This window comes from Homo sapiens, chromosome 1 (assembly GCF_000001405.40).
Source record: "Homo sapiens chromosome 1, GRCh38.p14 Primary Assembly".
In the NCBI taxonomy this organism is placed as follows: Eukaryota; Metazoa; Chordata; class Mammalia; order Primates; family Hominidae; genus Homo; species Homo sapiens.
This window is the reverse complement of record NC_000001.11, coordinates 146419123-146445928: the sequence shown is the minus strand read 5'-3', so window position 1 is coordinate 146445928 and position 26806 is coordinate 146419123. Positions and strand designations below refer to the sequence as shown.

At 40.0% G+C, this 26806-nt stretch overlaps 3 long non-coding RNA genes across 5 annotated transcripts in view; 2 read left to right on the top strand and 1 right to left on the bottom strand.

Moving 5' to 3' along the window:
* Positions 1-1841: 1841 nt before the first annotated feature.
* Positions 1842-25284, top strand: LOC105371235 (uncharacterized). Of its 2 annotated transcripts, XR_001737741.3 has the most exons (4): positions 1842-2423; positions 10148-10220; positions 23781-23934; positions 24780-25284. It is a non-coding gene; the product is annotated as an uncharacterized LOC105371235 (long non-coding RNA). The 2 variants fall into 2 exon arrangements; XR_001737742.2 differs by lacking the exons at positions 1842-2423; positions 10148-10220 and adding an exon at positions 17609-17698.
* LOC124904407 (uncharacterized) lies at positions 12821-15530 on the bottom strand. The gene is made up of 3 exons (XR_007066579.1): positions 15369-15530; positions 13767-13922; positions 12821-12903 (listed from the first exon to the last, which is right to left on the bottom strand). It is a non-coding gene; the product is annotated as an uncharacterized LOC124904407 (long non-coding RNA).
* A 788-nt stretch (positions 25285-26072) lies between the features above and the next one.
* Positions 26073-26806, top strand: part of LOC112268274 (uncharacterized) — a 43044-nt gene continuing 42310 nt past the window's right edge. For both annotated transcript variants that reach the window (XR_002958622.2, XR_007066567.1), the window contains exon 1: positions 26073-26254. This is a non-coding gene — a long non-coding RNA (uncharacterized LOC112268274). The remainder of the gene's footprint in view (positions 26255-26806) is intronic.

The following is a 26806-nucleotide window of genomic DNA, read 5'->3' as shown; positions in this document are numbered from 1 at the left end:
AAGTTACTCTCTTTTTTTTTAATTATACACGCTTAGCATAGACCATACCACCAATACAGAAAAAGTACAGATAGGTAAAATTTCTGATCACCTTAAGTTCAAAATAACTTTTGTTAACATTAGGGCAACACTGATCGAGTCATGTTCTTCTGGTATATCTACAGAGAGAAGAATGTATATTTTAGCTAGACTGTCCCCCCCGCAATAAATAAAGCTCTCTCTATATATACACACACATATATATGGGAGCTATATATTATATATACACACATATATATATATATGCTTTTGTAAAATTGAACTTAGACTCTATTTTTATTTTACAAATATTCCATTTAATAGTGCATGAATTTAACTGAAGACAAAGAGGCAGAAACAGAAATGAAGGAATTCCTGAACTCTCAATCACATTTAGAGAGACGCTTTTCTAAAGGAATCCTCTAAAGCTAAACATTCATTAAATTAAGTAGAATGCATTATGATTTGCTGTGTTTTTTTTTTATTTTTTTTGAGACGGAGGTTTTTTTTTTTTTTTTTTTTTTTTTTGGCTCTGTTGCCCAGGCTGAAGTGCAGTGGCTCGATCTCGTCTCACTGCGACCTCCGCCTCCCATCCGCCTGCCTCAGCCTCCCAAAGTGCTAGGATTACAGGCGTGAGCCACCGCGTCCAGCCTGCAGTGGTTTTCTTACTACTTTTTACAATCAAATTGATTAAGGCATTGGTTGAATATGGTACAATGCATCCATTTCAAGTTTGATGACATGTCTACTACTCCAGAAGGTCCTCTTGTGCCCTTTGCAGTCAGTCCCCTCGACTCCCTGACCCCAGCAATTAATGATGTATTTTCTGCCACTATACAGGTTAGTTTCACCTGTTCTAGAAATTCACCTTGATGGCACCACATAGAATGCACTCTTTTCATCACTCAGCATGAGGTTTTTGAGATTGGCCCATGCTATCTCATGTTTCCATAATTTGTCCCATCTTATTGAGGGTAGTACTCCGTTGGATGAATATATCACAATAGGTCCATTCACCTCTTGATGCATATGAACCTTTTCCAGTTTGGGGACTATTGTAAACAAAGCTGCTAAGAACAAGTTCTTTTTGTGAATATATGTTTTGTAAATTCCACTTGTCATTCTTTAGTATTAACTGATTTTGTAAAATGATGTCACCTTCACAAGTGCAAAATTCATTCAAATGTTACAGAGGCCTGAAGCATAAGTCTACACAATTTCCTTTGTTATATTTCATAATTAAGGGGAAAAAACTTTATCTGGGATGTTGTTTCCTATCAGCAAATCCTTAATGTAAGCCATACAGGATGCTAGCTGTACTATTAGACTATCTTCTGTAATCTGTGCAATAACTCTAAGAAGTACTTCGTATTATTATTTTCCTGTAACACTTTCCAACTTGAAGCCTAGCAAATTGAAGGACCTGGCCCCAGGTCAAACAGAAGGCAAGCGGCAGCGCCAGGACTGGAAGAAGGCCTTCCCAAAGGCAGACAGAAGCTCACGTCTTTGTCAGAACCTCGGTATTTCTGATGCGCCTGGAAGCCAATATCCAAGCCGTTCTCAGCCACTGGATTGGTGGGCTGCTTTGCTCAGAAACTCCTCGATCAGGAATCCCAAGCATACGTTAGTGATGACGGTCCCAAAACAAGGGACATTTCTTAACCATTCTAAAAACCCGTTTGCTCATCAGTAACGCAATAAGAGTTGCTTTCGGTCTTGGTTCATATATTTTATATTTGAGCAAGGCAATGTCCGCTGCTGGGGTTAGAAGTAAATGGCTCGTCTTCAGCAAACTAGATCAGTCCGTGGGACGTACGGCTTCCACTCGCCGTGTCCTGAACACTGGCTGGGCTTCCTGTGCGTTCTAGCCGGTTTTCTTTGGAGCGGCGGGTTTCTGCACGGCTCCGGGGTCGGGATGGCAGAGGCTTCTCGGAACACGCGGATCTATGAGTGCAGTCCCCGGGGTAGCCACCAGGGAACGCCATAGGCTTTCCCGCTGTGTTCCTCCTTGCCTTTTCCGTTTGGGCCAAGTAGTTTCTATTGACCATGACATTACAGATCAGAAGTGGGTGGGGTCAGAAAACACACCCTGGGAGAAGCTGGCAAAATGCCCAGAACCGCCATCACTAGGCCTGGGGTTTTCTTCTGTAGTGGAATTCTCGTGCTTATGTAGTACAGGGAGGAGCGCAGCGCATTTCCGCCAAGACAGGTGAGACTGCAGTTCTGACCTGCGGGCCTCGATGAATTGCTTTAGGGCCCCTGGGCGCCGGCAGAGCCGATCTCCTACACAAAGCAAGCGTGTTATGTCTACGACCGAACGGGGACACTAAGAAAGAGCCCCAAAGGCCCTGCTTTCATCCCAAAGAACAGCGCCTGTCTGCGTAGTTTCTACCTTGCTCTATGAGGTGAGAACACCTTCACCGCTGGCACGGAAATCCTACAAACTCCTGTGGGGACCGCGGTTACAAGCAGACGCTGTGTGAAAGGTGACTCTGGGGGCTAGGGAAAAACACGAAGATTTTCACAGAGCGTGAGACCCCAAGAGACTGGAGACCATGGACCAAATTTCTGCAAACAGTAGCCTTATGTAGAAAGAGCTATGCAATCTTCGTGCTAGTTAGCTTGTGATACACATGCTCACAAAGGCTGGCGCTTCCTTCTCCAGCGAAAAGCGAGGCGATATATCACTTCCCGATTCAAAGCATCCAACTGTAAGAATAACAGTGTAGGGAGAAAGGTCTATAGTCATGGCAATATTGCCTAATGATATTTTTTTCTGTGATGGTCATTTTATAATATTATTTAAAAGTTTTTTTTAATTAAACAAGCAATGGAACTTTGAACAGAAAAATATGAAATTAAAACAATAAAAATTACCCATAATCACACTAGACTGTGATAACTAAACTGTGAATATTTTGGTTTCATAAGCTTTTAATCTTTTTCCTTAGGTATATAAAAATATTTAAGAACCAAAGAAAATTATATCACAATGGGTATATCAACTTAGTATCAGTTTTACTCATTTAATATGCCAAAGGTAACCTACTTATCCTTTGACTACAAGAGCTTTCTAAATGTCTGTATAATATTACATCAGATGAATGCAATATAATTTATTTTAAATATTTCTTATTGCATATTTAGATTGTTTCTAATTTTTGAGTATGATCAACAACTCTTTGACCAGTATTCCTATAGCTAAGTGCTTATGTTGTAGGTCTGATTATTTCCTTAGTACAAATTTCTAACAGTGGAGTGTCAGTCAAAGGGTATGTACAATGTAAACATGTAGATGTGTATTGTCAAATTATCCCCCACCAAGTTCCTAAAATATGCATCTTTACTGTCATGGTGTAACTACCAAAGTCCTGTACCCTTGAAAACATAGATTCTTATTTCAGAACATCTTTATCAGTTTAAAAGATAAACTATGCCATCCTCTTGTTGTTAGTAAAGTGCATTTCTTTGATTACTCCCCTTTTACAGAAGAGTAAATGAAGATTCAGTAAGTTTGTGTGAGTTATGCATGGGTGCATAGGTAACGCGTGCAGAAAGCAATCACTTCAGTTTTCCATATTTGAGGTCCTCTCTGGGCCAGTACAGTTCGAGACACTAGAAATTCAAAACCACAGATAATGCCCTCCTGGGCCTGTAGGATGTACTTGTTAGGTGGCAGGGGCGAGGCCCAACCAGTGCGCACAACAATGTCATAGCCCCAGGTGAGTGTGGGAGGGGAAGTTGTAGAAATATTTTCCAGCCAAAGAAATCAGTGAAGTAAAGATAGGCAGGAGGCAGGCAAAAAGGAGGCAGAACTGGCAGGTTGTGGGGGCAGGAGTGGCCACGGATGAGGAGCCAGGCTTGGCAACACAGGTGCAGGTGGCACGTGTCATAGGCACAGGCGTGGAGATCTGAGGGCGTAGAGGGGAGAAGACCGTGCACCGCCAATGTCAACTGTGTGGAAGCAAACCTGGGCTACATCTAAGAGTCCTGAGAGCAGGGGAGGAGAAGGGAGGAAGAGACAACAGAAGTCCTGGGTGGGAAGCAGAAATATTTCCTGAGTCAATGAAAGAGCCCCAAGCCTCCAGACCTGCCAGGGCTCAAGCAGGCAGCTCCAGAGGCCAAGACCTATAATCCAGCAGTTCAGGTTGATTTTGCCAGAGTAGTGTGAAGAGGCCCTGATTTTCCCCTTTAATGTATACCCATACAAAAGGCAGAAGAGTTGTTGGAAAAGCAGGAGATTCACAGTTACAAGCACATAGGAAGCACAAGAAAAACTGGTAGAAGGGATCTGGGCCCTTCAATGTTGACAGCCTTCTCTAGGAGCCCTGGCTACAACAGAAGGAGAAGGATCCTTGGTGGGTATAAAAAGGTGGGAAGGAGAACAAGCCAAACAAAACACCACCCTCAGGACTACAGAGAAGTTATTTCAGGAGATGCATTGATTCCATGTTTTTGTTTCCATAGGTTGCTGTTTTGTAACTTTTTTTTTCTTAGGTGAAAGAATTAAGTGTCCTCCCCCACTGTCTGAAGAAAGATATGCCTGTCATGAAGCGTGCCCTTACTTACTTTGAAGGGGACAAGCCTTTTCTAGCTTCAATATTTATTTCCTATTTTGATGGGGAAACCTTTAGGGAAGTAGAAAGAGAGCTTAAAGCCTCGGGGGAGACATTTTACGTGCTTGCTAAAAAAATGCATTAAAATATTTAGTACATGTCCTGAATGTAACCCAGCCCTCCAGAGCTATTTTTTTCTCACTGTATTAGTCCATTTTCATACTGTAATAAAGAACTGCCTGAGACTGGGTAATTTATAAAAGAAAGAGGTTTAATTGACTCACAGTTCAGCACGGCTGGGGAGGCCTCAGGAAACTTACAATCATGGTGGAAGGTGAAGGGGAAGCAAGGCACCTTCTACACAAGGTGGCAGAAAGGAGAAGTGCTAAGCAAAGGGGAAGAAGCCCCTTATAAAACCATCCGATCTTGGGAGAACTCACTCACTATCATGAGAACAGCATGGGGGAAACCATCCCCATGATTCAATTACCTCCACCTGGTCTCTCCTTTGACAAATAGGGATTATGGGGATTATGGGGATTACAATTCAAGATGAGATCTGGGTGGGGACGCTAAGCCTAACCATATCAGGGGAGGGGGCTCACAACTGAATATTTCAGATAATTTTAATATGTGCTGGTATCCACAAACAAGAGCCAATGTGGACTCAGCAGGCAATGTCATGGGCCTTCTGTTTCAAAAATGATTCAGATAGACTTTTATGCTTTTACATGTGCCATATGGGAGTGGGGCATTCTCATCTTGTTCCTTGTTTTACCCTCAGCATCTACCTTTCATAGCAGTAACTGATGATCATGAAATGTTTGTTGATTGAATGGCTGAAGTATAGACAGATGCAGCTTCTGTCCATGAAAGGCATCCTGCTTGCTCCTTGCACTGTGTCCAGTGAAAACTCTTGTTTCTCTGAGCAGCTGCAACACGTTTCACATCACAAGGAGCACAAGGCACTGGCTTCCATTTCCACCCTGAAGCTCAGCAGCCCCATTTGCGTCCCATCAGCTGCCTGCTGCGGAATAGAGGAGGGAAGGGCTGGGCTTCAGAGTTTGCTTTTTTTTTCTTGGTTCTGTGAATGGAAAATGTCAAAGGATCCTGTGAAGGGATCCAGATTGATACCTTGGGGTCTGGTGTACGTAGGTCTGTTTGTGTTAACTCACCATTTAAAGACAGAAAAAAGGAAAACATACATATTTATAGCCTCCTAGAGAGAGCCTTGGTGCTAGTTTTGATGGCTTGCTGGGAACACAAGTGAAGCCAAGGGGGGTATTGTGGTTGGGAGCATTGATTTTGGGAGGAAAGTGGTGCTGGTATCATTTAGGGAGGGACAACAAGATGCTCCTGTGGACCACCACTGATTCTCTCACGCTGATGACATCTGGCAGTAGTGACAATGTGATGGGAGCCCAAAGAGGGGAGGGTCTTGTAGAAATTTCACGTGGTTGCATCAACTTCAGCTTTTGGTAACTGGTGGATAGCCAAGCAGCAGGAGTAGGGCAGAATACCATGAGTCCGTGAACCAGGCAGAGAGTTGAATGACATGAACTTGAGTCAGGGAGGAGAAAACTAGGGGCCGGGCACATCTTTGATTAGTGAGTAACCAACAATGTGGACCCCCAGAGGGCTTAAGGCCCTTCGCTGGAGAACTAGATGGTTATCCCTGGGTCCTGTTATTGAGGCTAGCTTCTCTCAAGTTTCAACGCTAGTCAGACCACCATATCTAAATCATGGAAAGTGTACCACTGGTTATGTTAAGAGGTGATGTTTGAATATTTAGATGGAGATAATCAAAGTATTACAAAAATGACAAAGGATTCAATGCAGTAAACAAGTTAATTTACACACCAGAGTCAAAATTTCACAAATATTATTGCATAGAGTGAAGATAAATTTTTAAAATTTAAATTAATTTAACAAAATAAACATAGTACTTAAATGTGGCTTTTTTGGTATAGATTATTTTCTTATTCAAGATTTTTCCTTTCCTAGTTTATAAGTATTTTGTTGCTATTCTTTCACTCTCTGAAAATTGCAAAATGCATACTTAACTTTTCAAATACAAGTTTTTCCAAAAATTGTATACATCTCCTGAAAACGAGTGCCTTTGAAGATGGCAACTCCATTTCTGCTCCCTCTAATTCACGAGTTATTCTTGACTTGTTTTGTGGAATTAATTAGTTTCATCTTTTTCTTAATGGCAAAAACTACTTGTCATGATTTTTGCATGTTTCCTACCTTCTTGATCCTCATCTTTTTCTCTGATTTAATTACATCCTTTTCTGAGGATATGCTGCAGATAAACTCTCTTTTTTTGTTTGCCCAAGAATGTCTGCATTTCATCCTACTCTTAAAAAGTGGGTCCTAGAAATTCTAGGTTGGCAATTATTTTTTATTAGCACTTTGGTGATCTCATTCTTCTGGCATCCGTCTTTCATCATTTCTGTTGAGTAGTTAGTGGTCAATGCCATTCTGCCGCCTTGAAAGTAAGCTGTTTTATTCACTACCTTGTGGATTTATGCATGTGTGTGGTTGTTCTTTGGTTTTACTATTGTTTTTGGTTCGTCCAACTCACCATGACATGTTCAAGTGTAGTTTTATGTTTGTGTACCCTCTATAGATTTAGAAACTTCCCGTTGGCTTTCTTTTGATGTAGGGTATCAGTCATTATCTTAAAATATTACTTACAAACGTTTTCTCTGTTCTATGTTCTTTCTCCTCTTTGTTTAGGAATCCAAGTAAAAATATGGTAAAATGTCTCACTGCCTCGTTTTGCTGTGATGCATTCTACATAATTTCTTCTGACTGATCTTTGGATTCACTAGTACCTACTTTAGCTACTACAAAATAGTGAACAGCCATTGCATTTAAAAATTTATTTTTTGCATCTTTCTATTTTAGAAATGTTCTTTGTTTCCTTTTTCACACATTCCAGTCATTTAAAAAATATTTATTTTATTTTAGATTCAAGGGGTCCATGTGAATGTTTGTTAAATGGGTATATTGCATACTGGTGGGGATTGGGCTTCTAGTTCACCCATTACCCAAATAATGAATATTGTACCTAATAGGTAGTTTTTCAACACTCACATCCTCTCCCCTTTGGGAAACCTCAGTGTCTATTATTTCCATCTTTATGCCCATGTGTACCAATTGTTTAGCTTCCCCTTGTAGGTGAGAATATGCGGTATTTTATTTTCTGTTTCTGAGTTAATTCACTTAGAATAATGGTCTACACCTCCATCCATGTTGCTTCAAAGGACATGATTTCATTCTTTTTTATGGTGGTGTAGTATTACATGATGTGTATATATATCACATTTTCTTTATCCAATCAATTATTGATGGACCCATAGGTTAGACTTAGGTTGGTTCCGTGACTTTGCTATTGTCATGGTATTGTCCTATAATGATTTGTTTTCCTTTGGGTCGGTGTCCAGTTATGAATATTTCTGGGTCAAATGGTAGTTCTGTTTTCAGTTCTTTGAGATATCTTCATACTGTTTTCCATAGAGCTTGAACTAATTTATATTCCCACCAATAGTGTATAAGCGTTCTCTCTTTGCTCTGCATCCAAGTCAACCTCTGTTTTTTTCTTTTTTCAACTTTTTAATAACAGCCATTCTGACTGATATAAGATGATATCTCATTGTGGTTTTAATGAGCATTTCTTTAATGATTAGTGATTCTGAGCATTTTTTCATGTGTTTGTTGGCTGCTTGCATTTTTTTTTTTTTGAAAAATGTCTGTTCATGTCCTTTGCCCAGTTTTTAATGGGGTTGTTTCTTTTTCTCTTCTTGAATTCTTTGAGGTCCTTGTAGATTCTTGATATTAGTCCTTTGTCAGAGACATATTTTGCAATTCTGTTTTTTTTTTTTTCAAGCATGGCGAGAAAGATTTTATTCAGGACCAGAGCAATAGTTACAGGGACCACTGAAATGTTGTCTGACATGGGGAAGAGAGATTCCATGCTGGTCATTTTTAACAGCTTTCTTTTATTATTATTGTTATTATTATTATTATTATTATACTTTAAGTTCTAGGGTACATGTGCACAACGTGCAGATTTGTTACATATGTATACATGTGCCATGTTGTCGTGCTGCACCCATTAACTTGTCATTTACATTAGGTATATCTCCTAATGGTATCCCTCCCCCCTCCCCCTACCCAACGACAGCTCCTGGTGTGTGATGTTCCCCTTTCTGTGTCCAAGTGTTCTCATTGTTCAGTACCCACCTATGAGTGAGAACATGCCGTGTTTGGTTTTCTGTCCTTGCGATAGTTTGCTGAGAATGATGGTTTCCAGCTTCATCTATGTCCCTACAAAGGCCATGAACTCATCCTTTTTTATGGCTGCATATTTGACAGCTTTCTTTTGCTGAGATTGTTTCAAGTATGTTCCAACTTTGGGCGTTATGAGAAGAGTTGTTTTACAACATTTTTCTCTGATTATTTTTAAATCTAGGGTCTTTGTAGAACTGTTTCTTTCTCCACTATTTCTTCTAGTTCTCTGTAACGGTTATATGTATATATATATGATACATATGTACTTATCTATCAGCTATATACATCATATAGGTGATACATACATACGCTGTGAGTGCATTATTTTCCTTGGAATATTATTGTGGAGATTCTTTCAGGATGAGGAGGAACTGCACATTTGTTTCTATTAGGTATTGTGAACTGTTTTAAACTAAATTTATAGCTTGAGTTTTTGAGAATGTAATTTATGCAACAGCAGCATTTTCCCCATGCTTTGTTCAGCACCAACGAACACTTCCTTGCCGACACATGGAAGCAGGAGTGAGGTAGTGTGGGTTTACTTTTGGTTTATGCTTATTGTGAAATTATAGCTCTTTGGAGGTCTTGTTTCATAGGGGGAGAGTCTTCTATTATCACATGCGTGTTGCTGGGGACTTGAGATTTTTTCCTTCTTCCATATCACTCCACAGAGACTGAAAAACTGAAGCTCAAATTCACTGCTTTCATGAATTCTCCAAGGGCCAAAGGGAATTCAACATTTAGCTTTCTTTTCTGAGATCAAGACATCACTTAGATTTTGGTCTTGTAATTCCTTACCATCTTGTATGCTCTTTGTTGCTCCAAAATCTTCTTTTTCTTCTATCTTATGCAGAATTTCTAGTTGTTTTTATCAAGAATGTGGGTTTGAACAACTGAGCATATTATTTTATTGGAAAAGTGCAATTGCTTTTTACTACCGATTCCTAATTATCCAGAGGATCTAGAAAAAATGGATTTAACTCTTTGGCCAATTAAAACACAAATTTATTCCGAAAATGGATTATCTGTTCTTATAAAGCTATAGTATATTAAAAGATATTTAATACATAAATAACAGTAAACAAAGTATCCTCTACTATGGTTTGAAAATTATTTAGAATCTTGCAATTGTCCTGGGTCTCTCTAAATGCTAATGATCACCAATGAGTTTGACAAATAGAGATGTTACAAGTGATTGGTTTAAATCTTTGATGCACCTTAAATGTATTTTAAAATGTGCCCCTAACTCTTTATTTTACCTGACTGTATTTCAGTGCATCAGTTTAAGAGAAGACATGAGATCATGGGTTTAAGTGAGGCTTCATCATACTAAGACAACGTGATCAGGTAAGTACTTGCCCCTCTACATGTCAGCATTCTCACCTGTAACATAGTACAAACAGGACTTTGTCTGAGTCCCTTGCAACATTTTGTGGAGCATGAAATACAATAAAGACCGTGGATATGCTTTGTAAACCTTGAGTTTCTACACATATGCAAATATAAGTACTGGTAAGATATAGAATGAACAAGGGAAATAGAATCCTATTTTTATGTTTCAATTTTATGGATTGCTGGAAAATTGAAGTGTATAGGAGTCTTCCTGTGTTGCTCACTAGAATGCCTTTGGCTGGGTTTACTGGTATTGCACTAAAACAGCTGTTAGCAAAGACAAGACTTAGGCACCCAACAAGACCTTTTATTTTCATATGACTGAGCCTCTGACTTCAATATGCGTTCCGTGTTTTTCCCAGAAGTTCTTTTGTGTTATGTACAATTACTCTGCTGAACAGATTGTATTTGTTTTTTTCTTTGTTTTTTTGTTTGTTTGTTTTGTTTTGTTTTGTTTTACTGTGAGACAGTGATGCCAATGCTTGTGTATTTAGGATGGGGGTCGCAGACTCTGTACTTCCAGGAGAAGCCCCCGGAAGGTCTTAGCTGGCTCCTGAGGGGGCACATTTGCTGTGCTCATTGCACTTTACCTGGTGTCATGAAGCATAAAGAGCACAAACTTGGACACCAAGAGTCTACATTAAAGTCCCACTCCTTTATGTTTGTAAATATGGGATATTGGGAAGTTGCTGCACCTTTTTTTGCTCATTTTCTTCACTGAACAGCAGAAATAGAAAAATTTCTTCTTAATAGGGCTTAAGGGAGACTCAAATACAACACTGTATATGATGTTCTTTTGCAAATTGTAAAGCAAAGTACAAAGTTTCAAATATATTCATTATACGTATATATCTAGCTTTTTATTCCATTTGGTTCAAAAAATTTATGTGCTCCAAAAAATTATGGAGGTGATACATATCTAAGTAGAGGATTTGTCAAATATAAATATCATGATGTACTAACAAGGCTGGACAGCTTTTATTAACACATTGTCTGCAGCACAAAAAAACAATGCCTGGGCCTGAATAGGAACCATATGAAAATATTTCTTAAATCAATGAAAGATTATTTAATAATTAAGAAAAACTGGCCAGGCGTGGTGGCTCATGCCTGTAGTCCCAGCACTTTGGGAGGCCGAGGCGGGCGGATCACGAGGTCAGCAGATTGAGACCATCCTGGCTAACACGGTGAAACCCCATCTCTACTAAAAATATAAATATTAAAAAAAAAAAAAAACTAGTCAGGCGTGGTGGCGGGCGCCTGTAGTCCCAGCTACTCGGGACGCTCAGGCAGGAGAACGGCGTGAACCCGGGAGGCGGAGCTTGCAGTGAGCCGAGATCGCGCCACTGCACTCCAGCCTGGGCGATAGAGTGAGACTCCGTCTCAAAAAAAAAAAAAAAGAAAAAAAAAGGCGAAGACAAGGGTGAGTTTAGAAGGTGAAATCTGTGCTGTATATACTGAGAAATTGCTTGGGATGACTCATTTGATTCTGAATATCTGCATTAGCCAGTGCAGGCTGGCGTAACTAAATGCCACAGACTGGATGGCATAAGCAGCAGAATTTCATTCTCTTACAGTTTTGGGGGCAGTGAAGTCCAAGATCATGAAGCTGGAAGGGTTTGGCGTCTGTTGGGGCCTCTTACCGGCTTGGGCTGCTTTTTCCTTATGTGGCCTTTATACATGTGAGGTCGAGGGGAGAGACATCTGTCTCTTTCTTTCAGTATAAAGCCACCAGTCCTAGTAGACTGAGGTCCCACCCATATGACCTAATTTGACCTTAAGTGCCTACTAAAGGCCCTGCCTGTCTTCAAAAACAGTCACATCAGGGATCAGAACTTTTATACATAAGATTTTTGCAGGGACACGATTCAATCCAAAGCAATATCTTATCAAGATAACGATATGTTTGGCTACGTCTCCACCCAAATCTCATCTTGAGCTGTAGTTCCCATAATCCCCACCTGACATGGGAGGGACCTGGTGGAAGGTGATTTTATCATGGGAGCAGTTACCTCCATGCTGTTCTCCTGATAGTAAGTGAGTTTTCATGAGATCTGATGGTTTTATAAGGGGCTTTTCCCTCCTTTTTCCCACCTCTCTTTGCTGCCGCCATGTGAAAAAGGACATATTTGCTTCCCCTTCTACCATGATTGTAAGTTTCCTGAGGCCTCCACAGCCATGCCGAACTGTGAGTCAATTAAACCTTTTTCCTTTATAAATGTCCCAGTCTTGGGTATGTCTTTATTAGCAGCTTGAGAAGAGACAAATACGGATAATATGATTGGTTAGACAATTTGAGAATCTTTATAATATTTTTCAAAAGAAACATAAATATTGTAATTTTTGTCAATAACTGGTGAGCAAGGAATTTAATTTCTTTGAATGTGTTTTTGTACTTGTGAAATAGGGATTATAATTCATGCATTGACTTAATGTTATTATAACACTCAAAGAATGTATTGTGCACTAGTCCTTGCAAACCCAAGCAAAGCCCTTGGGTTACACATGTGAGTTGTCATCATTCAGTATTCCCCTTGCCATGGGAGGGGAAGGAAGCATGTATGATCTGCACTGCGATGCACACATGGGCCCCCTGGAGATGTGGAGCAGGTGATGGATCTTCAGTCTCCATTAGAACCTTATTATTGGACATTTAGAAAAAGGCAGAAAAAGTTAGCAGCTCCAGAACTGCTGGATCGTTATTGTGCTTCTGTTTTGTATATATCTCCATTGACTTCAAGTTACTGCCCACTCGGACCTATGATTCCAATCCCCCTCCCCATTCACCTACAGAATAATGAGACTGTGATTTAAACTAGAAAGCCAGTAGCTTTTCTTCTTTATTTTCTTTGAGTGATAGCCACAAAGGGGAGAGTTTAAGAAATAAGTCGTTGCTTGCATAAAGACTGCAGAGAAAAACCTTCATTTGTTTATTTTTTTCCTTTCTTCTATTTTCTATTCTAAAGCTGCATGTGGTCTCCTCCTAAAAGGAGTTTACTGGTAGCATATTAAACATGTCTAAGACACTTCTGAATATTTGAATATAAATTATTTACATAACTTGTTAATTTATTTGCTTATGTAAAAGATATGGTGGGTCAATTGGGTAAATAGCTAGCACACTGCAGACTACCTTGGCCTTTTTTTCTACCTGAATGCCTTGTGGCAATGAAAGAGTTGTGAAAAGGAGCAAAGAAGAAAAAGCAATTTATAGTCAAATTTTGAGAATTTTTAAAAGAGGAGGAAGAGGAAAACAATTTGACAGAGAAAGGAGGAAGGGAGGAAAGTAAGAAGAAAATAAAGGATCATATGTTAAAATCAGAAAGAAATATACAAAAACCTAAAGATGACATTGGAATCAATGAAAGCAAATATACTAGGGTCAGATTTTTGCCTCTCATCTCTAATCTAACACAGTCTAACACAGTCTATGTCAAATAGTTACAGCATCATAACTTCTGTCCCCTTTATTCAGAATTAGCAAAGTCTGAACTGACTTACCTGAACAGGAAGAACTAGTTGAGTAATTTCTTTTAGTAGCATGGTAGTGGAAAATTTTAGAATCATATAAACTTAGGTTGAAAATTCTGCTCCTTTACTCTCCCGCCCTGTGACTTCAGGTAAGCTTGTTGATCTTTCCAACTTCAGTTTCTTCTTCTGTAAAATAGAGATAGTAGGACCTGCCTTATATATTAAATATACATATAAACCATAGAGATGCCTCTGAAATTAGCATAAGCTCCTTTGGAAATTGAAAATGGCAATATTTGGGATAACTTTCACTGTTTATGTGTTTGCTGAAGGTAAAAATATCAGTTAAAAATATCTTTCACTGAAACAAGAGGAAATTTACTCTTAAATAGGAATACTTTATGCATCGAGCAGAGATAAAGAGAATTTACATGTGTCTCTAGGTTCCTTGGCTTCCAGTAGTATCTTTATTTGTGCAAGTTTTGTGTTTTGTAAAAGCTAGAAGGTCAATAATCAAAATGGCATTTGATTGCTTATTCATTATTTGGTGGTGCAAACATGTAGAACATTTTCTGTTTCTATTTCTGGCAAACGGAAGGGATGGTAAAACTAGACGCAATATTGGACGAACATTAGCGGCCCAGGACTGGCCTCAGTCATTGAAACTTTGATTAAGAACTCTGGGCATGATGGATAATTTTTGTGTCAAATTCACTTAGACATGAGGTGCCCAGACTAAACATGGGTCCTGGTTATGCCTGTGAGGCTGTTTCTGTATGAGATTAGCGTTTGAATCAGCAGACTGAGTAAAGCAGGTGGCCCTCCACCGTGTGAGTGGGCATTATCCAATTCACTGAGACCCGAATAGAACAGAAAGCACAGGAAGGGTGACTTCACCCTCTGCCTAACTGCTTGAGCTGACACATCAGCCCCCTGTGCTGTTCTTGACTGGGTCTTATACCATCGACACTTTGGTTCTCTCAACTACATCACTGCCTTTCCTGGGTCTCCAGCTGCAGATGGCAGATCGTGAGACTTTCAGCCCCCATAATCACATGAGCCAATTTCTTATAATAAACTCCCTCTCTCTCCTTCTTTCCCTCTCTCTCTGTCTATATATACACACACACACACACACACACGTATTAAATATATACGTGTATATATATATACACACACACACACATGTGTGCACACGCACACACATACTCTTGATTCTGTTTCTATAAAGAACCCTGATTAATACAAAGGGCAATTTCAAGGATTTGATTATATATATAAAATATTAAATCACTTATACATATAACATCGTGTGTGTGTGTGTGTGTGTGTGTGTGTGTGTGTCTCCTTTTACTGAGTTACCTCCTGATTTTTATGACTTTAGGATGAGAACCAGGGCTATTTTTCTAATAACACAGATACCTTTCCTGAGAAAAATCATCCTAGCCATCCACAATGGCAAAGATCACATATGTGTATGCATGTTCATATGGTCACATATGTGTGCATGCATGTATACATGTCTGCATGACCACATATGTGTATGCATGTGTATTAGGGTTCTCTAGAGGGACAGAACTGATAGAATAGATGTACATATAAAAGGGGGTTTATTAAAGAGAATCAACTCACATGATTACAAGATAAATTCCCATGATAGGCCATTTGCACGTTGAGGAGCAAGGAAGCCAGTGGTGCATCAGTCCGAGTCCCAAAACCTCGAAAGTTGGGAAGTAAACAATGCAGTCTTCAGTCTGTGGCCAAAGGCCCGAGAGCCCCTGAAAAATCACTGGTGTAAGTCCAAGAGTCTAAAAGCTGAAGAACTTGGAGTCTGATGTTCGAGACCAGGATGCTTCCAGCACAGGAGAAAGATGAAAGCCAGAAGACTCAGCAAGTCTGTTCTTCCATCTTCTTCTGCCTGCTTTATTCTAGCTGTGCTGACAGCTGATTAGATGGTGCCCACCCAGATAGAAGGAGGGTCTGCCTCTCCCAATCCACTGACTTAAATGTTAATCTCCTTTGGCAACACCCTCACAGACATGCCCAGGAACAATACTTTGCATCCTTCAATCCAATCAGGTTGACACTCAACATCAACTATCACAGCATATATGTATATATGTTTGTTTAAAAACACAGCAAGATATCGGAATAAGCTTTGTACACTAGGACTATTTGCAAAGTTATTGTGTGAATATAAAGAACTAATATATATCTTAAAATTTTCTGTAGAGGTAGTTGTATACACAGGCTGTAAAAGTCAGCATTTTTCCTCATATTATTCCAGAACACATAAAAAAGCAACAAGGAAAATGGAGAAAAAAAGAACCAAATATATCCTTAGTGAAACTAGAAAAAGTTAGAATCCAAAGATTTCAAAACGTATGTAGAGATGACCAAATCTAGTTGGAATCAGGCACAAGCCACATGGGAGTAAATGAAGTATGGAGGTAGTGAGGCCAATGGCTGATAATCTCAGAAAACACCAACAAAATGTACTCCCTGAAAATTTGGGAGTTCACTTCCATGTTCAAAACTTATACCCCTTTTTTTTAACCACAGGAGTGGGAACCAGGGTACACAGTCTACCAGAAAAAGTCCCCTCCTGGACCCAGTTTTGTTCAAGGGAGGAACAAGGGAGATTCAACCACACAGAGAATCACCAGAGGAGCCATACTTGCAGGAAGCAGTCTGTCTCTGTGATAGCCCAGTAGGAAAGAGCCATTCTGGTGTGAGGCCCAGAAGGTTGTCTTAATTCTCTCTCTGAACCTCTGTAGTTATCTAGGAAAACCCAAACCATTTAGTAGTATATTACAAAAATAAAAGGAAATAGATACCCATTTATACAAAAATTATCTAAGCAAACATCTGAAAAGCAAAACTCAAGTATTACAGAGAAAATGAGAACTATGGAAGACCGACAAATGGATTGAACACATACATTACTGGAACATCCAAAGAAGAAACCAAAAGAGACAGAACGAATACTTCAAAATTATAATTCAAGAACACTTCTGTGCAATGCATGAAGACTTGAATCTACCTTTCAAAAGGGCACATCAGAAGCAAGGTATATCCATTCATGACAGGCAAAAAGTGAACCACATCTTAATGAAGGTATTGGACTTAAAAAAAATAAGGTATCTATTGGGCAGCCAGAAAAAAAGAATAAGTCACTCACAGGAGAAATGAAGAAGGCTGTCCTGGCTCCCCTAGCTGTACTGAAGCTGGATGGTCATGAGGGAAGACCAACAAGATTCTCAATGCCAACCAAGGATTTTTATGTGCAGCCAAGCTAGTCTTACTATGCAGACATGATATATTACAATTTGTTGCGGTTTTTATCAAGCAAGAATTCAGGAAAAAATATTTTCATTAATGTTTTTGAGAGAACAAAAACATGGGTATGTGGAGAAAAAGGGCAATACATTTGGTTACAGAAGGAAGGAAAACAATAACAACCAATTAAAGGAAGATGCTTTGGTAAAATACAGCAAAAAAAAAAAAAGTTGTAAGTATTGAATGTATTTTACTGTAGACTGAAACCAAATGTGGATTAGGGTTACAGAATAGGCTGGAAATGTCGTATGCCCCAATAACATAGAAATAATAAACTTTTTTTTTTTTTTTTTTTTGAGACGGAGTCTCGCTGTCGTCCAGGCTGGAGTGCAGTGGCGCAATCTCGGCTCACTGCAGGCTCCGCCCCCTGGAGTTCACGCCATTCTCCTGCCTCAGCCTCCGGAGTAGCTGGGACTACAGGCGCCCGCCACCTCGCCCGGCTAATTTTTTGTATTTTTAGTAGAGACGGGGTTTCACCGTGTTAGCCAGGATGGTCTCGATCTCCTGACCTCGTGATCCGCCCGCCTCGGCCTCCCAAAGTGCTGGGATTACAGGCGTGAGCCACCGCTCCCGGCCAGAAATAATAAACTTTACCATGTCAAAGGTGAAGAAAGATAGTGAAGGTAAGGAAGCCTCATTAATTACCTCACTTGTTATGACTACGGTGCGAAGGATAAATTTTAAAGGTGGCAAATACAGCAAAATAAAAGCCTACTTAGCAGTGCAATGGTAGAGTAAGGAGGATAACATTTACTATCCTCCTTACTTACAAAGGGCACCTGCCACTGTATGGTGGTGGGCTGGTATCAACTCAGTCATACCCCTACCTGGAACCTAGGTTGTAATGTTAGTTCCACCAGTACTCTTCACATCAGGCAGCATGATAAAGGGAAGGAAGGCATTAATCAGCACAAGTAAACAATAGCTGATATAGGTTCTGCCTCTGCTGTTGGTCTATGTTCTATGTTGATAGTTCCTCTTTTTCATTTTTTCAAATCACCTATCAATGCTCCCTTTACCTTCTACCAACACCTTTCCCTATCAGAAATTTTAAACTAGTAGTATGACCAAAATTTTCATTCCAATAGACTGCAAATCCTTTACAGCTACAGTTTCCCACTAACCATTATCTTTGGACACTAGTGAATTAAGGAGCCCCAGTAAATTGCCCATGTTCTAGATGTAATCTTCTTTGCTCCCATTGTATACAAACACTCCAACATCCTTTCGGCACTGTAAAATGCCAGTTCAAAACAGGAATTCTCTATCTCGTAACATGAAAAGCCCAACATGATTATAGAACAGTCTCAGGTTCTCATTGAACGAAACCAGGACTATGTTTCTTGATGCAAAATTCTTCCCTTGGCCCTAGGACTTCACAACACACTGAGTATAAGGAATTAAAAATGAAAAATACAGATCCCATCAGTGTAAGACTGAGGGAGGTCATACCCAATTTCACCCTTTTGTTTTCTGACCGTGTGTTCTAGTATTCTGGCTTTGTGGAAAAGGTGGAGTGAACTTACAATTCAGTTATCTAAGTCAGGTCACTTTTGACGGTGAAAGGGGTTGTTGTTAATAATTATGTTAGAAATTATTATTATTATGTCCTGGGAAAACCGGAGCACATGGTCACACAAGAGACAGAGTCATACATTGGTCATTGCTCCACAGTCATTCTGCATGCTGGAGAGGAGTGCTCCAGGCCTGCAGCACGCCATCTCTCAGCTCGCACTGTGTGAGAACCTCCAGGAAGCCACCTCCCCTTCTGTAAAGCCACTGGGTATCTGCAAGACAGGCTACCAGCAGCAAAGGTGGGCAAAGAGGGCACTGGTCAATGCCCGAACTGTGGGATGTCTTAATCTGTTTGTTCTGCATTAACAGAACATGGACATGGAGGCTATGTAGTCTATTGAGAAAAACATATTTCTCACAGTTGTGGGTCCAAGATCAAGGTGCCAGCAGATCTGGGGGCTGGAGAGGGTTGCTTTCTGCTTCCAAGATGGCGACTCTTGCTGTGTCCTCACATTGCAGAAGGAATATAAAAGCAAACAGGATCTAGCTAGTCCCCTAGAGTGCTGTTATAAGGGTATATAATCACCTCCTCAAGGCCTCACATCTTAATCCTGTCACACTGAGGATGAAGTTTCAACATGAATTTTGGAGGGACACAAATATTGAAACCACAGCAGGAGGCAGGGAGTGTTTTCGTGGAGAGAATACTGTTGCCATCACTGCAGTTCCCACTGCAGAAAAGGAGTGGGAGAAAATTACCCCCAACTCTCTGTCTTCTGAGCATCCCATCACCTTACATTGATCTCCGTCAGCCAAATCCACATGGAAGTTCAAGCCCAGGAAAGCCAGAGTCATGCTATTTATAGAGATATTGGCAGTTTTGGGGTGCATAAAGAGGGGTAGAGAATAAAGAGGGGTTGAAAGACAAGTGAAGATAAGCCATCACTGATATCTGTCAGATACTGTGCAGCAGGGGTTTGGGGGGAACTGGCTGGTTTTGGTCAATGCTGTCTGTGAACACAGCCTTGGGAATGGAGAGACAGGGCTTGCTGGCTGGATTACAAGTGGGGAGCATCAGGGCAGGTTATTTGCTCCATGTGTAGCTGGCAGACTACCATGTGGTTTTAGAATTTGGAAACTTTAGTAACTTTGCAAAAACTGCGAGACAAAATTTGAAAACTATCCTCCATCATATTTTAAAATTAAAGAACACTATCATTTTAAACGTGTTCTAGGAACACATGTCCTTCCTCATGGTACTGGCCTTTTCTATAAATATCTCAAGCTCCGTTAAGCTTTTCTTAATAAAAGTATGGATGCACAAAAGAGGAATATTTTCTGCTTGTTCCAATATCTCTTGAGGTTATTAACATGTTTGACTTCTTAGTCATGATAAAATGGCTTTCAGTTATGACCCCTCCTCTCCTTTTTTTTTTTTTGAACTTTCCCAAGACCACCATCCAAACTCAAGCCTTCATTGCAACTGATCAAATCCAGTGCAAAAGCTTTATGGTCTTATACGTAGCATCTGCCTTCAATCTGCTTGCTTCAGTGCCTCTTCCACATTGCTACCCAAGTATCTTCCTAAAACATCACAATAACTTGGGTGATTTTTCTGCTCAAAAAGCGATCATGGATCCTCTTTGCATATATAATAGAACACAGTTCTTAGCCTAGCATTAAACATGTTCCGTAATCTGAGCCTAGTATGTTTTTTCTGGCTCTACTTCATTCTTAAGCTATCTATGCAATACAGATACGAATTTGAACATGCCCAACCTCTCTTGCCTCAGTTATTTCATTTGTCCAATTCCTTTCATCTAGCATGCAGTCACCAGGATTTGCCTGTGCTGTAAACCCCACTGTAGCTCAAGGCTCCATTCAGATTCACCCTCCTCCATCAAGCCTACTCTTGACGGTTACATTTAATCCTTCCTGATAGATTAAGTCCTTATCTTCATGGTGGACCTTCTGTTCTGGGTGCTATTATTCACCTTGTGGTTTCTGGGCTGTCTTGGCCAAGTCTTCCCCCATAATGTTAGCCATCTCCCAGACTTAAAGTTTACAAAGCGTACATTGTCCTTTTTTTTTGTTGTTGTTTTTTTGTTGTTGTTGTTTTGGTTTCTTTTTTTGAGATGAAGTGACGCTCTGTCGCCAGGCTGGAGTGCAGTGGCGTGATCTTGGCTCACTGCAACCTCCGCCTCCCAGGTTCAAGTGAGTCTCCTGCCTCAGCCTCCCAAGTAGCTGGGACTATAGGCACCTGCCACCACACCCAGCTAATTTTTGTACTTTCAGTAGAGACAGGGTTTCACCATGTTGGCCAGAATGGTCACAATCTCTTGGCCTCACGATCTACCTGCCTCGGCCTCCCAAAGTGCTGGGATTAGAGGCGTGAGCCACCATGCCCAGCCAAAGCATTCATTTTCTCATTTATCTTTACTTGTGATGTGCTACAATCATAGATATTAACATGTTTCCAATTTAGCAAGACTAGGAAACTGAAGCCCGTAGATTTTAGTCACAAAGCTAAGTAGTATACACCTCGGAAAGGAATTAATTCCCAGATACAAGGATGTATCCTGCACCACCACTGTCTCTGTTCTACAGCTGCCAAAGTGTAGAAGTAAAGTGGGTGCACATGCTTCATTCTTCAGCAGTCCACCAAGGATCCCCTGAATCCTTCTGCTCACATAGGTGATGGTAGTCAAGAGACCTGAAATGGGTCCGTCTGGAAAAGCAACTGATGAATTTAACTTTCTACATAGTTAGAAAACAAAAATCAACTCACTTGACAAGTACCTGGAAGAATTTGTATATGATTTAGCATCTTTGTGCTTTATGGACAAAATGAATACTACAGAAAAGCATTTATAAATGATAAATCTATCAATCCAAATAAAATACCATCTACTTTGTGATGTATTTCTTTTTCTTTTTCTTTTTCTTTTTTTTATCTGAGATGGAGTCTTGCTCTGTTGCCCAGGCTGGAGTGCAGAGGCATGATCTCAATTCACTGCAAGCTCCGCCTCCTGGGTTCACGCCATTCTCCTGCCTCAGCCTCCAGAGTAGCTGGGGCTACAGGTGCCCACCACCATGCCTAGCTAATTTTTTGTATTTTTTAGTAGAGACTGGGTTTCACCATGTTAGCCAGGAAGGTCTCCATCTGCTGACCTCATGATCTGCCCGCCTCGGCCTTCCAAAGTGCTGGGATTACAGGTGTGAGCCACTATGCCCGGCCTTTTTGATGTATTTCATAAATAACTAGAGTGGCATTACTTTAATCAGTTAAAAGCTTGTTATATGCAAAAATTTTAAAAGTTTGCTGCATGTAAAGGGCAGGCTTTCTAAGTTTGTGACCAATCACAAGGATCCAAACTATTTTATATTTGTTTCAGATAACTGTAAATACATAGAAATTCATGTTAAAATAAGTAACACACCATATTTTTGCATGTTTTATTTATTAAGCTTGTTATTATACGTTTTCATATATTTTTTCTTCTGTTTTGATCAAAATGATGGGAAAATAAGCTTGCATATTATAAGGAACACATTTCCCCCAATAGTAAGTGGCTTTTGTCTTTTGCTCTTTGATAAGATCTTTCAGAGAGACTTTTAATTTTCATCATTAAGTTTAATTAAATTTTGTAAAGTGGCTGGTTCAATAACACATGGCTTTGAGCATGAGTAATCAAATCGTACGTGTTTCCTGAATACTATCATCAACTTCAAATCTTGAGTTAGAATATGCACTTAGAGTGAGTTGACATTGATGACAATGGATATAACCTATGTTTCAAAATGCTTTCCTGATGATAATGTAGAATTTTTGGCTGACTCCTTGCCATTGTTTTCAACTTTGCTACGTGGTTGACAAGAGTATATACAACTAATTGAAGAAATGTAGCTCTGATATTTTATTGTTCTTGAATTATCATATTATCTAAATTTGGTATTTCTTTGTAGGAAATTTTTTAACCCACTTAACCTTTTGTGAAGTTAGTTTAGTCAAAAGTAGACAATTTAATCCTTGAATTCACTTGCCATGGTTAAGATGACTGTGCCATTTAACAATAGCTGCAAGAGACCCTGTGAGTGGGGCTGTGGGAACTCCTCTGCCCTCTGCAGGGCCCACATTTCTCAGGAAACCAGTGACTTCACTTGCTATGCAAATCTCTGACATGCAGCCTGAGTGGGGAGTCCAGAATCAGTCTACATGTTCAATATTAGTAACACTTAGATATGTGCCTACTTTTTAAGATAATAGAAATAGATACAGAAATTCTCACAATTTATTTCCAGAACCAAATTGACTATTTTTTAAAGCAATTTTGAATACTTTTCATCTTGTAGATCAGATAAGTCCATATTGCTTCTTGGTCCATACTGAGGGTTTGATTCTCTTGGATTCCTGAGGAAAATAGGCTCCCTGGCCCAGTAACTGCTGTGACCTCAAACTCTTTCCATCATTGGAGTGCGGTCAACATCAGCAGTTGATGAAACTGAAAGTCAACATTTCACTTTAGCTTGTCCTGGAACTAAACTCAGAAGACGTCTTTGGAACTGGTCACACAGGGAGAAGTATCCCGGTGTGAGGTCAGATGCATGCACATTTCTCAGTGATGTGACTACACACTGTGAACTCTGCGACTGACGCTTTCTCCATAGTGAGGAAAAAGACCTTGTTGAAAAATGCCAGAGTACTATCTTGGAACCCCAGAGTATTCGCATGACTCAAATATCAAGGGCTGGTTTTTTTTTCTCCCCAAAATGGCTTAGAAAACAAAATGTATGGATCTGATTGTCTCTTATACAAAGGCATGTTAGAGTTTGTAACCTGTGTAAATGCTGTAATTAAAACCTTGTTTTTACATGTATTCATTATGTTAAATTCTTCAGTAATTACTGACATTTTCTTTAATGTGTACATGTGGCGAACATAAGAATATGATTAGCTCGAGTTAAAAGTGTAAGCAGTAATGAGCATATTATGGGTCTCCCTTTGTCTTTGGTCACTCTAAGCTTCTTGACAATAAAGCTTGACTTTTTATAGATTTGCTGCACTATGCAATTTTCTGTAAGCAAATAAATGCATGTAAAGTAAAAATGACAACATTCATATACATATGTTGAATGGTACAGCTTCTCTTTACATTAGCTCCCCGAGTTACAACCTCTCCCCTTGTGTAGGTACAAGTCGGTGATTAAAGTGCAGAACAACTTCCCCAATACAGGAATCCAGCTTCTGAAAATATCTGTGCTGGAAAACTTGCAATGGAGGAATGGAAGACTTGAGAAAGGGAGGGCTGGGAAACAAGAGCTGTGACTCACCCTGAAGACATTCGTAAATATCTATTTTAATATCTATTACAATACAGCAATAAAGGCAAACTAAAAAAGGCTATACAAGGCATTTTGCACATCTTCATGTACTGGGTTCTCTGAAGCCCATTTCCTGTTAATATCTTTTGCTGGAAGAATCTTCTCAGGATCTCCCCTTCTGTCTGTTCCAACCAGACTCCCGTACATTCATTTTCGTTCCTCGTGGGTAATACACCCACTGAGAGACATGTTCCTTTGCTTTTTTTTTTCTTCTTAGGGGGTTTCTCCACAAGATTCCTGGTTGAGTTGATGGAGTGAAGGTCTGTCTGTCCCCCAATTTTTTTTTTTTTTTGGAGACAGAGTCTCACTCTATCCCGCAGGCTGGAGTGCAGTGGCGCTATCTCAGCTTACTGCAACTTCCGGCTCTTGGGTTCAAGCAATTCTCATACCTCAGCCTCCCGAGTAGCTGGGATTACAGACGTGCACCACCATGCCTGGCTAATTTTTGTATTTTTAGTAGAGACATGGTTTCACCATGTTGGCCAGGCTGGTCTCGAACTCCTGACCTCAGGTGATCCGCCTGCCTTGGGCTCCCAAAGTGCTGGGATTACAGGCGTGAGCCACTGTGCCTGGCCTGTCTGCCACCTTTGATGGACAGTGTGACTACAGGGACAGAGGAAGATTCCCCAAAGACCTGCACTCACCCCTCTAATGCATGTCCAGACATCGTCTGGCTCTCAGCACTCCCCTCCATTGCCCAAAGCCCTTTTGCAGGACCTCTGCCTGTTCTGCCTGCTTTGTGCTTTGTTTTGTTGCATTTTATTTCCTTTTCTTTCCTGTTTCTAACCCAGTCATCTCTTTTTCTAGTTATTCCCAACCTATATAACTCACATACACTGGAGGAAATATCTTCATGGAATTAAAACCACATGGAGTAACATTTCACGTAAGCAGAATTCAGGAAGGATTTCAGTAATTCCATCCCAAACACACACAGGCAAAGGGAGTGAAGATTTCTTCAGCAACATGGTGGCAGAAAGATCATGAAAAGATCTAGGCCAGGCAAGTATGCAAACAAGACTGACTCTTCCTTTCCACTGGAGCTTTGGGTAATTGCTCTGACAATTCTATGATTTGCTGAAGCCACAGAAAATCAGTTTTAAAACAGGATTTCTACCCCTGGCTCACTACATGACAAATAATTTTATCCTGTAATCTTCTGATGTTAAACAAAGATGGCCCTCAATGTAATTGTTACAGTGCCTCCTCCCCACTTCTGTTAGCTGTTGCTTCTCTGCCTCCCACGAGTTTAGTGTAATCCCAGAACTTTGGGAGACCAAGGAGGGCAGATCACTTGAGGTCAGGAGTCAGAGACCAGCCTGGCCAACACGGCGAAACCCCATCTCTACTGAAAATACAAAAATTAGCCAGGCATGGTGGCTTGCGTCTGTAATCCCAGCTACTTGAGAGGCTGAGACACAAGAATCACTTGAATCCGGGAGGCAGAGGTTGCAGTGAGCTGAGATAGTGCCACTACACTCCAGCCTGGGAGACAGAGCGAGACCCTGTCTCAAAACAACAAAAAACAAAAACCGAACAAACAAAAACTGTAATTGCTGAAACGCTCTTTTTCATCAATCATATATATTGAACCAGGGTCACGAAAACATGGGAAAAGTGTAATTTCTGCCTCTGAGGAACTCACAGTCTAGTGGGAGACACCATTTATTCATCCATTCTTTCATGATATACACATTGAGAATGTAACACACCCTGGGCAAAGGAGAGGTCATTTGACTATGACACAAGACAATAGTCATAGTCTTTGCCCTCATGGAATTCACAGCCTAGCCATGGAGATTAAAAATAAAAAGATCTAATAGAATAAAGAGTAGTAGATTTAAAAACACTGGAAACCCAGTGTGCAGTAAAACTAAAAAAGAGGGCTACCTAACCTAGTGTGAGAGGTGAGGTAGAGGTTAGGGTGAGAAAGGATGGTATAGGAAGGCTTTCTGGAAAATTTCAAGATAAATCTTGAGGATAAGTCAGAATTATACAGGTGAAAAGTAGAATAGTGCCTGCTACCTTGCAATTGTTCAGCAAACATCTGCAATGATTACTAACTGTCAGTTTTTGGCTCTGCTTCAATCCTCACAGTCCAAGCTCACTGCAGTTAAATCTTCAGTCTCCAGCACTGCACTTGGGAAAGCGTCAAGGAGTTGAATGTATATGTAATTGGAGTGCCAGAAGAAGAGAACCGAGAGAGAGGGGCAGAACAGCTCATGAGGGGAAAACCCACTACATACAATCAAGAATACTGCAGACTCCTCATCGGAATCTATGTAAGTAAGAAAAAAATGGCCAGGAACTATAGAGCTGTTCTTTAAAGTACTTAAAAACATTTTTGCCAACCTAGAAGTCTTTAACCAGCAAAAATGTCTTCCAAAAAGAAAAAGACTTTTCAGAACAAATACTGAGCTGATTCATTATTAGCACATTTGCACTACATAAGTGTTAAAGAAAATTTCTTTAGTAAAAGAAATATAATACCAGAAGGAAAATTTGATCTATAAAAAAAGAAATTAAGAGTCCCAGAAATATATAAAAATTATGTAAAATTTTTTTGTTTTTTCTCCTTAAAAGATAATTGATTATTTAAAGCAAAAACAATAAAGTGTTATAGGATTTGTGGCACATGTTAAATGTATGCATTTGAAGTAAAATGTATGATAACGGTAGTGCAAAGACAGAAGAGAAAAACTGACTTCTCCTGCTGTACATTCTTTATACTCTACATAGAGCTGTGATAAGTTAAAGATGTGTATTGTAAACTCTAGATGAAATAAAAATTTAAAAAATAAAAATAAAATTAAGAAGTAAGATGGAACAAGTAG